Source organism: Homo sapiens, chromosome 1, assembly GCF_000001405.40.
Source record: "Homo sapiens chromosome 1, GRCh38.p14 Primary Assembly".
In the NCBI taxonomy this organism is placed as follows: Eukaryota; Metazoa; Chordata; class Mammalia; order Primates; family Hominidae; genus Homo; species Homo sapiens.
Window position 1 is genome coordinate 234,732,797 of NC_000001.11, and position 16,937 is coordinate 234,749,733.

Consider the following 16,937-nt stretch of genomic DNA (forward strand, 5'->3'; position numbering starts at 1 on the left):
GGTCCAAGGCCACAGGGCAGGAATGAGCCTAGCTTGTGTGAGGAGCCAAAAGGGTGGGCGAGGGCGGAGAGCCGGGAGCAAAGCAGACAAAGACGGGAGCAGGCAGGGCCAGAGCCTAGAGGACCTCATGCGTATGGGAAAGACTTTCAGTGGCTTTTCAGAGCAGGATGGGTGACGGCTAGAGGGCTCAAAGAGCTGTGATGGGTTTGGTTACCAATTTTTAGAGATCCTTTGATTGTTATGTGGAGAAGGTGTTCTCAGCGGAGTCCAGGGCAGGCAGGGAGATGGTGAGGAGGAGCATTCTTGGTCCTGGGGAGGGCGAGGGTTCCGACAGTGGGCTCCGCCGACCATCACTGCCGCAAGGGATGCTGGTCACCTGCCTCAGCAACACCCCTGGTGTGCAGTTCACCGGGGAGCCCCATCGGTGGACCCAGGCAGTGCCTCCCCCCATGCCATCCCTGAAGGACACTTCTACCACAGAGCCTGCCCACATCCAACTGGAGGCAGAGACGCTGGACTGGAAAGACCACAGGCCCTGAATTTGGGCAGACCTGGGTTCAAGTCCTGTCTTAGCCACTTTCTAACTCAGACATTCTGGTTAAGTGGCTGAACGCCCCTGAGCCTCAGTTTCCTCATGTGTCAAATGTGGCAAGGATTGCATCACAGAGTTGTGCTTGAAACTCATGTTAAATCCCCCACCACAGAGCCTGGTACATAGCAGGTCATCAAAATGGTCTTCAGGAGTTGGGCGCAGTGGACACTGGACTACAGGATTACATGCCTGTAATCCCAGCACTTTGGGAGGCTAAGACAGGAAGCTCGCACGACGCCAGGAGTTCAAGGTTATGGTAAGCTATGATTGCACCACTATACTCCAGCCTGGGTGACCAAGCCCGTTAGTAGTGGTGGCAGTGGCTGTAGTCATAGTAGTTGTAATAATATAATACCCACTCATTCATCAAAGGTTTATTGACTGCCTCTTATGTGCCAAGTTACGGTTCTAGGCACTTGGAGTATATCAGTGAATAAAATGAAGTCACTGCCCTATGGAGCTTATATTCTGGGAAGGAAGACAGACAAAGGTTTTTTTTTATTGTTTTTAATTTTATTTTATTTTATATATTTTTTCGAGACGGAGTCTCGCTCTGTCACTCAGGCTGGAGTGCAGTGGCGTGGTCTTGGCTCACTGCAACCTCTGCCTCCCAGGTTCAAGTGATTCTCCTGCCTCAGCCTCCCAAGTAGCTGGGATTACAGGCGCACACCACCATGCCCGGCTAATTTTTTGTATTTTTAGTAGAGACACGGTTTCACCATGTTGACCAGGCTGATCTCGAACTCCTCACCTCAGGTGATCCGCCTGCCTCAGCCTCCCAAAGTGCTAGGATTATAGGCGTGAGCCACTGCACCAGGCCAAACGTGTATTAGATTTTTAAAAATTAAATGAGTTTGTTAGAAGGTGACAAGTGCTTTTTAAATGAAATGGAGTAGAGTGGATGGAGAGAGGTGGGGTGAGGAAGGGCACAGCTCTAAGCCATGTGAAGGGTGGGCTTCTTGGCAAAGGTGACGGCTGAACAGAGACTTCTGGAGGCGAGGGAGCGAGCCACATGGATCTCCAGGGATGAGAATCGTAGGCACAAGGATCGGCCAACTCTGAGTGGGACAGCTCTGGGGTGTCTGAGCCTGCGGGGGCGGGGCACTTGGCTGGAGGGGAGAGCGAGTGGGTGGTGAGTGGCAGTGGATGACATGGGAATGGGGGGTGACCAGGTCCGGGTTGCCCAGGGGAGGACTCGGAGGCCATGGGGAGGACTGCAGCTTTCAGGCTGAGCAACAGGAGCCCTTGGAAGTTTGTGAACCAGGACAACATCCGCTTCAGGTTTCAAAGAGATCATTCCAGCTGCTGGATCGAGACAAGGCTGTCGGGTGCTGGCGGAAGACCAGTGGTTCGGGGAGGGGTGAGGGGCAGCTCAGGACAGGAGGCCAGTCGTGGGCAGTGGTCAGAAAATCAACAAAACAGCTTCATTCTGCTTACCCCACATTATCTTCAAGGATGGGCCCCGTCAATCCTGGCACACCCCTCAGTTGCATCTGTCCTTAAATGGCCACCTGCTGGCCTTCTGGACCTCCCAGAAAAGACACATCTTACCAGAAGCTTCCCTGGCCTCGCTCCAGTCTGGGCCACATGGTGACTTCTAGGCTTCCTGACTCTCAGTTCTTCCCACTCCCGGTCTCACCTGCTCCCGCCCACCCATCTCTACGTGCAGACCACGCGGCTGCTTCCTGGCTTGTGACCTTTGGCTCCATCTCCTGGCTCTTCCTTTCATCTCCCTCAGCATAGAGGCTCCAGGGACAGAACTTGGAGCAAGGACCCTCCCACGTGGCCTGGCCTGGTGTCCCCGATGCTGGGCACTGGGAGTTGAGTGGCAGTAGATAATATGCCCAAGCCTCCTCACTGGTGGGCAGCCCTGATGACCGGAGACAGCAGGCTGGGTCCAAAGTTGAGACTTGGAAGAAGGGGAGGCAGTAGAGGAGCCAGGCTCTTTCTGCACGGACTTCTGGCCGGGGGTGAGAGACTAAAATGAAGGTTAGAATAATAACAACAAGAAATACTATCACTCACTGGGCAGCCACCATAGCTATGCTAGGCACTGGGCAGGTACTTTGCATCCTCTAATCTCACTATTGTAAGATGTGGGGATTGTGCTCATATTACGAATGAGGACAGCGAGCTCAGACAGCTCTAGAAATACGTCAAGATCACACAGCTAGCGGCACTCAGAGAGAGTCCCTCCCAGCCTTGCTTCTGCAAAGCCTGAATCCTCCCCCCACCCTTCGAGCAGCTCCATCACGGTCGTCCGTGCAGCTTGGGCGTATGGGAATACGTCAGAGGCGTTTTGCTCGCCTTTCCAAAAGCAAAGCAAGAGAAGGAAGCTTGTCGCGGGCCTGGCCTGTGTGTTCATCCAAGTTGCTGCAATCTTTTCTTGTTTTTAAATTCCCTTCTGCCTTCCATACCAAGGCCCAAAGCAATGGATGACTGACCAGGCAAGCTCCTTGTTTCCATGTTTGTGTGTTAATGGGCTTTGCGTCTTTTTTGAGCAAATCTGTCTTGTCTCTTTCTCTCAGATTCTCAGCTCCTCAGGGGAAGAACTGAATCGTACATGCCTTATTTCTGGCTCCACAGCTCCGAGCTCTGAGCTCTGTACCCCGGGAGCACTCGATGGATGGTATTGACTGGCTGACTCAGGCCCCGTCTGCCCACATGAGCCATTTTGAGCAGCTTTAACTAAAATGCGGACAGAATCAGTGAGAGCCAAATAAGCAGTCTGGTCGATTCTCTTCCCTCCCACCCTATTCCGAATGCCTCCTGGAAACTGCTGGTCCTCCTCGCCCACGGTTCTCTCCTTCACTAGGGGCCCAGAGTCTGCAAAGCGCCCATCTCCTCTCCAGTGCCGTTTGCATCCTCAGAGCAGCGCCGCACCTTGAACTTGTTAGAGGCATCCTGATTCACCCAAGGCAGTCTCAGATTTGGAACTGTCATTTTTCTATTCCTGCCATCTTCACCCGACAAATAGTACTGAACACCTGCTCTGTGCCAGGTAGAAAGTATAAATGCAACCTCTGTTGTCCTGAGAAACAATAGGAGAGAAAGGTGATTCTTGAAACTTAAAACAAACAAACAAAAGGAATCTGTGGTTACTCAAGAATTTACTTACTTAGTCTACACACTAAACAAATTATAGCCTTTATTGGTAAAATTAATTGGACACAAAACAGGTCAGGGCATGTTCACTAGTTGGATCTTCCAAATTCGGAAACCCTACTTTTTAGGAATCTATATTTCAAAGGAAAGAGAAAATGAAATGCACATACACAAATTTGCTTGTAAATACGTCAAGCATCTCTGGTACAAATTAATGATATCAGTTGGCTCTTGGAAAGGGGTGAGAATTGGAGACAGACTTTTCAGAATAAATTCCTTGGATATTTTAAATTTGATGCTATGAATAGATTGCTTACTTAAAAAAAAGAAAGATATACATTTTTTTTTTTTGAGATGGAGTCTTGCTCTGTCGCCCAGGCTGGAATACAATGGCACGATCTCAGCTCACTGCAAGCTCCGCCTCCCAAGTTCAAGTGATTCTCCTGCCTCAGCCTCTTGAGTAGCTGGGACTACAGGCGCCCACCACCACCCCTGGCTAATTTTTGTATTTTTAGTAGAGACGGGGTTTCACCATATTGGCCAGGCTGGCCTTGAACCCCTGACCTTGTGATCCACCCGCCTCGGCCTCCAAAAGTGCTGGGATTACAGGCGTGAGTGACCACACCTGGCCTGATATACATTTTTTTAAAGCAAAGAGAGGAGAGCAAAAGTATAGAGACATGAAATAATCCAAGCTCTAGACCAGACCAACGAATGATTCTCCTGAAAGAAAAACATGCAGTTGCAATCATAGCCCCATCCTAGGCATATGTTGATGGCATTTACAAATAACTTCTTCCACAGGGTCAACCCTTTATGAGAGGTTGGGCACCTTGATTGTGCTTCATTAGGCACAGTCTATAATGTAAGGGTAGTTCATCTTACAGGAAGGAAAAGTGGTGAAAAAGGGGTGAGTGGGTTGACCTGGACCTGTTGATTGTAAGGCCACAGAATTCAGTGACAGCAGAGAGGGGTGGGAGCAAAGGGGCAGAGCAACCCCTCCTCCAACCGACCTCCCCTAAAGTCACACAGAAAAGGCCCCATCCTTGAGTGTGCCTGGTCAGTCATCCATTGCTTTGGGCTTTGGTATGGAAGGCAGAAGGGAATTTAAAAATAAGAAAAGGGCCAGGCGCAGTGGCTCACACCTGTAATCCCAACACTTTGGGAGGCCGAGGTGGGTGGATCACGAGGTCAGGAGTTCGAGACCTGCCTGACCAACATGGTGAAACCCCGTCACTACTAAAAATACAAAAATTAGCCGGGTGTGGTGGCATGTGCCTGTAGTCCCAGCTACTCAGGCGGCTGAAGCAGGAGAATCACTTGAACCCGGAAGGCAGAGGTTGCAGTGAGCTGAGATCGTGCCACTGCACTCCAGCCTGGGCGACAGAGGGAGACTCCGTCTCAAAAAAAAAAAACAAAACAAAAAACCTCTGGGGGGAAATAGACCCCAGAAAGAAAGACTTCTTCCTTTTTTCCGGGAACTGTCAGCTTCAAGGCGGCATCACTCCTAAGCTGCTTTCCATTTACAGATAAAAAGAGAGAGGAGACAGGAGAGAGGAGAGAGAGGAGAGAGGGGAGAAGGGAGAGAGGGAAACAAGCACAGATGTGAATTACTGGGTAATGCTGAGTGGCTTCCCCACTGAGCACGTTGCCACGGCAACACACTCCCGTGATGGGCCACTTTGGGAGGAGGGTACAAAGAATTGCAGGGAAATGCCGTGAAAAGCAGCAGTGTGAGTTTGGGCCTAGGCTTTCTGTATTTCTGGAAGCATTCTTTGTACAGATGCATTTTTCACCCCTGCCCCTGGATCTACCCCTGTATATTCAGCAGGTGTGGCAGAAGTCTAGAACTCTCACACTTCAAAACAGAAGACATTTTCCTCATCTTCTTTTCTATACTTACACCTGTCCATCATTCAGAGTGCCTCTTAAGCTTGTCTTCCATAAATAAAGCAGGACAGTGTCAGACATTTCTTCCAAACATAATATGGCTCCATTTAACCTTGCAGCTCTAATATAGACTGACTACATTTCCTGGTCTATCATAGACAGATAGATAGACAGGTAGGTAGATAGATACACACTTTTTTTAGTGATAGGGGTCTCACTGTTTTGCCCAGGCTGGAGTGCAGTGGTGCAATCACAGTGTAATATAAACCTTCAACTCCTGGACTCAAGCCATCCTCCTGCCTCAGCCTCCCAAGTAGCTGGGACTACAGGCACATGTCACCATGCCCAGCTAATTTTATTTTATTTGTAGAGATGGGGTCTTGCTTAGTTGCCCAGGCTGGTCTCAAACTCCTGGTTTCAAGTGGTCTTCCCTCTTCACCTTCCCAAAGTGCTGGGATTCAGCCACTGCGCCTGGCCACATATATATTTTGATATGAGTCCTCTGAGCATGTCTCTTTTTCTGTGCCTTCATTTTACAGTGACAGCTTCTCCTGAGTGAGACAAGCCAGCTGTGAGAAGGCCGAGCTCTGTCTCTGCCAGGCCAAGAACCTGGTTAAGTTTATGGTGGGACCGGGCAGGGGGTATTTTGGGTCAGGGGGACCAGAGGAGGAAACCTCATTGCAGTCACAGGTCTTAGAGACAGAGACCTAAGTGAGAGCTGGTCATCTCATTGGTTAAGTGGGTGTCCAATTTCTTCCTGAATGCCTTTAGGGATAGCTACCTCCCTACTTCAGGAGAAGGCCCATTCAATGACTTAACAATTTCCTTCTAAAAAAATTCAAAAAGTGCTGGTTATCCCATGGGTGGGATTGTTCTCTTATGCCCTGAGGCCCTTCCACACTCTCTTGAGCACCTAGTATGTCTCACGTGAATTCCATTGACAAGGGTGTATTATGTCCACTATGCAGTCGGGAAACGTGAGGTGCAGGAGGGTCTTGTCCAAAACTACCCACCTAGCAAAGAGCAGATCTGAAACTCTCAAAGCCATGCCCCTTCTGCTGCCCCTTGCTGCTTCCTAGAGTAATGATGATGATGACAAAGCCGGTTTGAGCCAGCCGGAGGGGAAGGAAAGGCAGAAGGAGCCGGTCCCTGCCTGCCAGCAACCCCCCTACCTACTCTCAACATAAGTGGGGGTTGGACCCAGTGTCGCTGAGCCGATTATTGGTAAGAAAATTACATGCCTTCTCTCCATCTCCCTTTTGCTGTACAGAGGAACAACCGGGATCAGCAAGAGGGAAGCTTGGCAGGTGCCAAAGATCATTTACGCCATCTTTGGTTTATGGTCAGACTTGGGAAGCTGGGCTTAAACAGGCTCTCCATAGAGTTAGTGCTGCATTACAGCAGGTATTGTCATGTACAACGGCAATAGCAATGCCACTCACTACCATTTAATGAGTGTTTCTATGTGTCAGACACTGTCTTACCTACTTCACAGTCATGATTTTATGTAACTGGCTCAAAAAGTTTAAGGGATCTGCCCAAGGTCTCATAGCTAGTAAGTGGCAGCTAGTAGGTAGCTTTAACCCTGGTCATCTGATTTCAAACCCATGCTCTTTCAACACCATGCACCAATCCCCTGAGTCATCAGTTCATTTGACAGACTTATTTGAGCACCTACTAAGTGTCAGGGGCTGCTCTAGGTACTAGGGACCCATCAGTAAATAAAACAGACAAAGATCCTGGACTTTTTGGGAGGTGAGGAGGAATGCTATAGAAAATAAACAAACAGGCCGGGCGCGGTAGCTCACGCCTGTAATCCCAGCACTCTGGGAGGCTGAGGCAGGTGGATCAAGAGGTCAGGAGATTGACACCAACCTGACTAACCCGGTGAAACCCTGTCTATACTAAAAAATACAAAAACTTAGGCAGGTGTGGTGGCACACGCCTGTAGTTCCAGCTACTTGGTAGGCTGAGGCAGGAGAATGGCGTGAAGCCGGGAGGTGGAGCTTGCAGTGAGCCGAGATCACGCCACTGCACTCCAGCCTGGGCAACAGAGCGAGACTCCATCTCAAAACAAAAAAAAAGAACATAAACAAACAAAAAACAGAGTGAGAGAAGGGAGACCAGGGATGCTAAGGCCAAGCAGATGGGGTCAGTATTGCAGGTAAGTTCAACAAAGGTCAGGGTGGGCATTGAGCAGTGAGGTCTGAGCAGGCACTGGGAGGGGAGGAGTGGCCAGAGCCCTATCAGGGCGAAGAATGTTGCAGACAGAAAGAACAAGTAGGGTCAAGGCGCGGTGGCTCACACCTGTAATCCCAGCACTTTGGGAGGCTGAGGCAGGTGGATCACCTGAGGTCAGGAGCTCAAGACCAGCCTGGCCAACATGGCGAAACCCCATCTCTACTAAAAATACAAAATTAGCTAAGAGTGGTGGTGCATGCCTATAATCCCAGGTACTTGGGAGGCTGAGGCAGGAGAACCACTTGAACCTGGGAGGCGGGGGTTACAGTGAGCCGAGATCAGACCATTGCACTCCAGCCTGAGCGACAAGAGCAAAACTGCACTAAAAAAAAAAAAAAAAAAAGGAAAGGAAGGAAGAAGAAAGAGAAAGAAAGAGAGAAAGAGAAAAAGAAAGAAAAAGAAAGGAAGAAAGAGAGAAAGGAAGAAAGAGAGAAAGAAAGAGAGAGAAAGAAAGAAAGAAAGAAAGAAAGAAAGAAAGAAAGAAAGAAAGAGAGAAAGAAAGAGAGAAAGAAGTAGGGCAAAGGCCCTACAGTGGTAGCATGTCTGGCTTTTTGGAGGAATCGCAAGGAGGCCAGTACTGCTGAACTGGAGTCAAACTGGGCAGGTGGTAGGTCATAAGATTGGAGAGATGGTGGAGGTGGGTGTAATGATTTCTGCTCTTCTCTGGGTGAGCCAGAAGCTTCTGTAGGGTCCCGAGCAGGTGTAGCACTACCTTACATTTGCAAAGAATCACTCTGGCTGGTGGGTTGAAGGTAGATGCAGACCTATCGGAGGTCACAGTTGTCATCCAGGGGCAAAAAATGGCAGTGGCTCAGAGTGACAACAGTGGAGCTGGATATATTTTGTGGGAATAAGTGGGATTTCCTGACAGTTTGGATGTGGAGTAAAAAAGAAAGAAGTCAAGGATGACTCTGAGGTTTGGGGCCTGAGCCACTAGGAGAATGAAATGCTCCCAGCTGAGATAGGAAGGCTGTGGCTGGAACAGGTTTGGTGGGAGGCAGCCTAGGGGAATAGGGAGCCCAGTTTCGGGCATGTTGAGTTGCAGATGTTCATTAGCTTCCTGGAGATGTCAAGAAAGTCCTTGGATCTATTATGAGTATCGGAAATATTTTAGAACATCTGTAAACAAGTAAGACAAGATTTCAGGTGTTTCAGCCCATGTTACCATAAAAAATTTGAAGCATTAAAATAAAAAATGTTTAAAAAATTTTTAAAAAGAGATTTCAGATGTAAGCTTCATTCATCAGGGCAACAAAAATGGGTATCAATCTTCTTGTTTCCCGTAAGACACGTCATGGAATAAGTGCCATGGTATATTCAGTACCACAGAAATTCCTGACTGGGATGGGCAGGAGAAAGGAGGGAAGTCACCCAGAAGCAAGAGAGGAAGCCAGTATAGGATTAGTAATTTTTGTTCCAGATAATCAAGGACTGGGTAAATACATGCAAAGAAACCTATGTTAAAATGAACGTAAATACCTTATCTGGAAGGACAAGTCAAATCTCACATACAGGCCTGGAAATAAAAAGCTTGATTAATTTCACATTAGGTTACCAAAACTCTTGGTACTTAACAGTTAACCAGAAATTAACCAGAGAGCCAAAAAGTAGATTATCGGTAATTCTTCTGTGAATTAAGAAGGAATGGGCAGTAGAGGCTGGGCGCGGTGGATCTCGCCTGTAATCCCAGCACTTTGGGAGGCCGATGCAGGCGGATCATGAGGTCAGAAGATCGACACCATCGTGGCTAACACGGTGAAACCCCGTCTCTACTAAAAATAACAAAAAATTAGCCAGGCGTAGTGACGGGCGCCTATAGTCCCAGCCACTCGGGAGGCTGAGGCAGGCGAATGGCGTGAACCGGGAGGCGGAGCTTGCAGTGAGCCAAGATCAGGCCACTGCACTCCAGCCTGGGCAACAGAACGGAGCGAGACTCAGTCTCAAAAAAAAAAAAAAAAAAAGAAGGAATGGGCAGTAGAATTGTTTTTCTGTAATACCTGCTCATACCAAATTTACTTTTAAGTGTCAGCAAATTTCTTGGCTAATTATCACAAGTCTCAGAAAAACGACGTGGCTATATTTCAATAATTGGAGCAAGAATTTTAGGTAGGTCACCGCCCGCAGCCCGTCCTCTCTGAGCCCAAGCCACCCCGTGCACTTCCGTTTAGTATGTCTACTTTGAGATGCATGGAAATGAAACCCGTCAATTCAGATCTTGGGAGATCTCCAGCCAGGGATGTGAGGTGTCAAGTATGAAATAATCACAAAGACGTTGGAAATAAGCTTCACCACCTCATTCTGAGCCAAGTTCAGAAAGTTCATCTAAAATGCCAAGAATGATGCCGGAAGACCCTGGAAGAGCTGAGACTTGAATGCAACAAACAAGATTTTGAGTCTTGTTGGAGAAAACGGGGTGCCTTCTCATAAAACCTGCGCAGACACCTCAACGCTCTGACCTGCTTCTCTCTCTTGCTAGGGCTCGTGACTCTGTTTATAAAACATCTCTGACTCTGATGGTTAAATGCTGGAGTCTGTGTGCATGGAATTAAACTAAGACAGCCCGGGCACTCGTGGGCACTAGCAATCTTTTTTGGATGAAGAGTAGCAAGGAACCATTCCCTATTCCTTCATCTCGGCTCTGTCACATACCATGTCATCGTTGTGGCTCCAACTCTACGGCCAAGCGACAGTCTCTGTCACCGTAATCAGGCTTAGGACATGGACAGGGGCTCTCACAGGCTCTTAAAGAACCAGGAAGGGTACTGGGTGTCCGATCACACACACACACACACACACACACACACTCTACTTGTGTATCAGATGTCCACTGACATTGGCCACATTACTGCTAGATTTGTGAACCAATTAAAAGCTGTTCCATTTGATAAACATTACATGTATATGCATTCTATACTGCAGTAATAATTATCTCTTTGCATATCTGTTTCCTCACAAGAGCTTGAGTCCCGTCAAGACAAGGATAAGCCCTTCCACTATAGAGCCACAGCAGGAAGCCCTCAGCCTGGTACACAGTGGGCATCCAATAAACCTGAATGGACAGAATGAGGAAACTGAGACACAGCTCTTGTGTTCAGGGCCAGTCTGAGACCAAATCTGGAAACAAACTCGGAATTTCCAATTCCAGGCTAAGTGCTTTTGCCAGAGGGAAGATGAAAGCGTATGTTTCAAGCTCTGCAAGATCCACAGAGAATTTTTTCTAAGCTCCTCTCTAAGAAGGCGCCAAGGAGCTCGATGTCTTTTTCCCCTGGACCCAAGCTTTTATGCCTCTGCCCAGTGGATGCGGCTTCTCCGCCGCAAGGAGTGCAGCTCCCTCCTCATCCGTTGGGAACATAACAGCCGAAGCTGCTCCCCCACAAGCTGCAGGATAAATGTCAAGTGAGGAGGGAATGCTGCTGCCTGGGTAGACTGCATTCTACTCATTCTGCTGAGGGTCATGCTTTGAAAATATCTCTAATTTTGTTTTCATAGCTTGTTAACCTTTTCCTTCCCAAAACAATACCCATGTTTGTTTTGGCACCACTCGCGTCCTGCATACTGAGGACGGGTCTGAGTTGGATGCACAAAAGCATTTTTCCCTTAATCTCATTACAAGGGCTCCTCAGTCTTTAATTCTTCCCAGGGCTCACTTGCTGTGAAGTGATTTCCTCTTGGAATCCGTTTCTCTTTGTGAAGCTGGGAGAGCAAGTCTGTTTGGTTTTGTAGGGATGTGGGGAAGGAAAGCAAAGACAAAGGCAAAAACAAGTGGTGCTGGGGTGCCCTGGAAGTTCCTAAGAGCAAATGGACCCACTCTGAAATGTCTGCAGCTGAGACCAGTGATACTCGAATTCCAGTTTGAATGAGGATCACGCGCTGAGGTCACGTACTTACTGCTGTCTCCTGTCTACCTGAGGTTTACAAAATGTGTGAATAAAGGCGCCAGTGCTTTGACAGCTGGTCTTGCTCATGCGTTTAGAGAGCATCTTATTTCATCCTTTTTGCCCCTCGAATGTTGCGCATCTGACAGTTTGACCACCCTGCCTGGACTCTTACATGCATGTGGCATTTCTTTTTCTTTCTTTTTCTTTTTCTTTTTTTTTTTTTTTGAGACAGAGTCTCGCTCTGTCACCCAGGCTGGAGTGCAGTGGTGCGTCTCGGCTCACTGAAAGCTCCACCTCCCGGGTTCAAGCGATTCTCCTGCCTCAGCCTCCCGAGTAGCTGGGACTACAGGCTTATGCCACCACACCCGGCTAATTTTTTGTATTTTTTTTAGTAGAGACAGGGTTTCACCGTGTTAGCCAGGATGATCTTGATCTCCTGACCTCTTGATCCTCCTGCCTCGGCCTCCCAAAATGCTGGGATTACAGGCGTGAGCCACCACGCCTGGCCTGCATGTGGCACTTCTAACATGTTCCTCCTAAGCGTTGTGGACAAATCCATACTGAGTTTTTATTCTCATGGATTCATGTTTATTCTCAATACTTGAGGAAATTGTAAGTTTAACCAGCTTTCTGTTAATTTTACTATCCTTTCTCATGAAAAGATTTCTTTTCCCATCTGAATTGTTTCCTAGATTGTATCTGCAAATACAAAACTACAATGAGGGACAGAGGATTCTGGAAAATGAATGGGGATGCTGGGGGAAACTAACAACACCAGCGACAAAACCAAGCCACTGGAGCCTGAACCAGCCAGGTGCCTGAGGAAAAGGGGAGGGAAGGTTTTCTCTCCCGCGTATTGTATTCCTGTTGTATATTGTACATGTAATGCATGCTAGCTGCCATTTAGAATGGAAAAGCATGCCCTCACCACAGTCAGGCCCACATTTTGCTTTCCGTGTTAAAGAGAGAAATGGCGTAACGTGCTCGTGAAGAGGCGGCACCTGCAGCGGTTGGAGCTGGCACCCTTGGCAGACTTTCTGGGACCGAGTCCTAGCTTTTTCTCTTATTAGCACGTTGCTTCCCCTCATTTATAGAATGGGCCTCATACCTACCTCATGGGGTATCAGACAGCATCCTTTCTTTTCACCTGATGCATTAATTTGGACATGAACTGAGAGAAAAGAAATATAAAACATAGTCCCTGCTTTTCAGTAGCTTAGAATCCAGTGAAACTTACCAATATAAAAGAAAAGGATACAGGCAAATTCTTGACAGCATCTCCTCTGTACTCACACATCCTCTCCCACTATCTATTATATTTTCATGTAAAAACGTGTGTGGGTGAGGGAAGGATTCTGGGAGGCTTCGTCCTGGAGCTCCAGCGGCTTATCAATCACCATTAATCTTGGAGGCTCACAGCCCCCATGCCCATTTGCTGAAGAGGAGTGAGTCATCCTGACTCGAACAGCAATGCTGACAGTTAATTGAATTCCAGAGCCAACGTTTCTTCCTACCTACAGCAATTCTTCACAGCTCAGAGCTCAAGATTGCTCTGAGCAAGACCGCTGTGTTTACGAGGCAGAGAGAAAGAGAGAGAGAGGGTGCCTTTTTCAAGTGATGGAAAGGCCATGTTGACGTGTAAGATTTCGTTTTTCTTTGACTTTCAGGCTTAAAACTTATGCAAACTTGGTCCAGAACAAAATGGACCAAACAATTATGGTTGAAGATTGCTATTAGTGTCTTTCCATGGGGGCAAGGGGCACTGACAGAGAAGCCTCTTTCCACTCCAAATGTAGCAGGTGTAATCTGCAAGCTGCCGGGCCCTCTTTTAATAATCCTTTATCTTCCCAGGGATGACCAAGGGCAGTCATTATTTGCTGACTGGTCCGCTGTTGAAAAGGGAGGAAAAATTAACGCATGTGTAGAAAATTTTAATGAGGAAAGATTTATTTCTAGAGTCCTTTCACAACATGTGTATATTTCAAGAGGAGAGTGACTACGCAAAGTGACAAAGACAACAATTTATATTTGGAACAGCTAGTATTGGGTGATGGGCTGATTGGTTTGATGGAAGCCAGGTTGTCACGGACTGAAAAGGAAGCAGGTGGTAGATAAATGGAGGGAGCAGTGGATGATTCATTCAAGTCATTTAACACACTGTCTTGGGAATCATGTGCGCACAAAAGCAAACAAACTTTTTGGGAGATTCCAAATTAGGCAGTTGGGTCTTGGAAAGAGGCCCCCCATGTGGGAAGCTCGAGCCCCCTCCAGAAGGCTCTTCAGAAGCTGTGTTAGAACAGTGTGTTTCTCATGGTCGGTCCCTGACTCATTATCCCTGGTTCCTGGTTATACAGGATTTACCTGAAGCAAAATGACCACAAAGGCGAACTCCTCCAGGCCATCTCCTCTTGAAGTCCTCTTTGTTCACAGCAAGGCCCCAGGTCACAGTGCACAGCCTGCCTGGGCCTGTCTGTCCAGGATCCAGCCCAGGCTGAGAAGCCCTGCAGCAGGCAGAAAAAGGAAGCCTGAGGTTTGAGGAGAGCGCGGGGAGGGTGGAATGGAGCCAGAGGCCGTGGTGCCTTGGAGGCCCAGAGCCATGAGTCCCGCACCCTCATGGAAGCAACGGAGGGATCCCTCCCGGTTCTCAGTGCAGACAACTTCCTTTCCGACTGTGGCCCTGAGGATCAGAGAAGAACACCTGTCTACAATGGCAGAAAGCTTAGGGATTTACCTCTTCAACTACCTCTTGTTACAGAAGAAAAATCTGACTCACATGTGATCACAGCAAAACAATCTGAATGAGACCCCTCTTCTGATTTATTCTAAGCCCCCTCTCAGACTGCCCCTAGGCCAACAGGGAGTTGGGGATGGGGAGTGAAAGAGTTTTAGACAAACTGATTGGTTCGGCAACACAGTCTTCCGGCAGAATTCTTACTCCTTAGTCTTCAATAACAGGTTGTAGAAATTCATTCAAGTATGTAGGTTTGAGTCCTGGCTAATAGCTACCCTTGGAAAAGTTCTTAACTCCTTGAGTCTTGGCTTCTTCCCCTGAAAAATCAAGAATAATCATTGTAGTGGTAGTAGTAGTAATAATAATAATAATAATATCTGACTTATTGAACTTTCAGGATTACTGTGAAGATCTAATGACAAAATGAATATAAAATTACTGAAAAAGTATGAAGCCCTCAAAGTATCATGCAGTGTTGACAATAAGTTCATTGCATTTCAATCCCTTAAAACAAACAATTCAATTCTATTTCTATATTTCTATATACTTATAATGATTTTCACACACACTCACACACACACATACACACTTTAGCTCTCTCTGATCTTTATACACCGAGTCTCATGCTTTTACATGCATTTACCATCTGCTGTGCATAAAGCCTCACTCTGCCCAGAGCAGAGTTAACAGAAATTAGGGCTGAATCCTGACTCAGCCTCAGTTATTCACCTGTAACATGCATATAATAATTCATAAACAGTGGAGGTTTTTCCTTGCAGTGGACAGATGCTAAATCATTATAATGGTATCCCCATCCTCACATAAGTTTGATGGGCATGTAATGTGTGTTTGAACTTACCTATGGATTTCCTAGCCTGGCACTCAAGGCCCTCTGTAGTGTGAGCCTCTCTTCCTAGCCTCTAGTGACTCCCGCCGCCTCCCATCTCCACTCACTTCAACCTTAGCGGCCCCGTGCTTCCCACACCAGCGCAATGCTTCTCCTTTCTTCACCCAGCTTCCTCCGCTGGAAGAGGAGGATGTTCCCCTTTCTTTCCCTGCATTTCCAGCTCTTTGCCTCTGTTGGACCCTGTACTGTCAGCCCACAATGACTTCCTTGTGTCCAAATTCTGCCCAGTCTCCTAGGTCTGGGCATTTGCTCCTCCCCTTTGAGATTTTTCCCAGAGCCTCTTAGCAAAGTCACTTTGCTCTCAGTTTTTGTGGCTCCTCGCCTGAATTTCCTCTGCACCACATTTCACTTTCTGCCCCATGATTCAGGTATGCATGGACATGCTTTCTCTCTTCTCTAAAATAAAAACTTGCTGAATGAATGGATAAATGTGTTGTCTTGGAATAATGGATTGATGTTTGTAGCTGCTTCCATAATTAAATTAAAAGCTTTTTAAAGGCAGGGACCACATCTTATCCGAAACTATAATTCAATTAACCAACACGTTGGAGGGCCTAGTCTGAAGTGGCACTGGATAAGGTGCTTCAGGGGTGGATGACAGAGCCTGTGAGACACATCCTTGCCCTTCAAGCGTTCACAAGCTGGTTGGAAAGGCAAGCCCCTCTCCTCTAAAAAAATGCATGGAGAAAACAACCATAAATATCTGTTAATGGGGGAGAGATTAAAAAAGAAAAGATTATTGTATTCATGCAATTTACTACTACTCAGCAATAAAAAGAAACAAACTATTGATAGACTTACTCAGCATTGATGAACCCAATCATTATGTTGAGCAAAAAAAGCCAGACATAAGACTGTATACCAATTGATTCTGTTCATATGGCAAGTCCAGAAGAGGGAAAACAAAACTTTGATGACAGAACTCAGATCACTGGTGGCCTGGGTTGTCTGGGTTGGTGGTGGGAACAGGGAGGGGGGTGATGAAAGCAAACAGGCATGCAGGAACTTTCTGAAGTGATGGAGATGCTTCATCCTGATTCGGATGGTGCTTACACACATGCGTTTGTCATCAAACTGCACACTTCAATTCTGTGCATCTTATTGTATGTAAATTTTATTCCAATTGAGTTGATTAAAAATGAGTAGAGAGGCCAGGCTCAGTGGCTCATGCCTGTAATCTCAGCACTTTGGGAGGTGGAGGTGGACAGATCACCGGAGGTCAGGAGTTCGAGACCAGCCTGGCCAACATGGTGAAACCCTGTCTCCACTAAAAATACAAAAATTAGCTGGGCATGGTAGCACATGTCTATAATCCCAGCTACTTGGGAGGCTGAGGCAGGAGAATCGCTTGAACCCCGGAGGCAGAGGTGGCAGTGAGCCAAGATCATGACACTGCACTCTACCCTGGGTGACAGAGTGACTTCATCTAAAAATAAAAGGAGTAGAGAATTAAGTCGTACATTAAAATGTAAATAACAGTTCAAAACAACCATGATGGAAGAGATATTGCAATTCACGGTTAAAGCAAATTGAGTTATACAGAAAATGGTGTTGAGAGTCACAAGGAGAGACTCATTCCTTTGGACCCTGGAG

The 16,937-nt window shown here is 47.2% G+C and overlaps 1 long non-coding RNA gene across 1 annotated transcript, besides 1 other annotated feature; it reads right to left on the reverse strand.

The window, feature by feature from the left end:
* Positions 1,337–1,837: an enhancer, noted in NCBI's record as "H3K4me1 hESC enhancer chr1:234869880-234870380 (GRCh37/hg19 assembly coordinates)". NCBI's record gives its function as "activates a minimal SCP1, AML or CMV promoter by ChIP-STARR-seq in primed H9 embryonic stem cells {active_cell/tissue: H9 hESC(primed)}" and the evidence as "EXISTENCE:reporter gene assay evidence [ECO:0000049][PMID:30033119]".
* LOC105373210 (uncharacterized) lies at positions 12,740–15,958 on the reverse strand. Its single transcript, XR_949292.3, has 3 exons — positions 15,297–15,958; positions 14,068–14,754; positions 12,740–13,595 (listed from the first exon to the last, which is right to left on the reverse strand). It is a non-coding gene; the product is annotated as an uncharacterized LOC105373210 (long non-coding RNA).
* Positions 15,959–16,937: the final 979 nt, after the last annotated feature.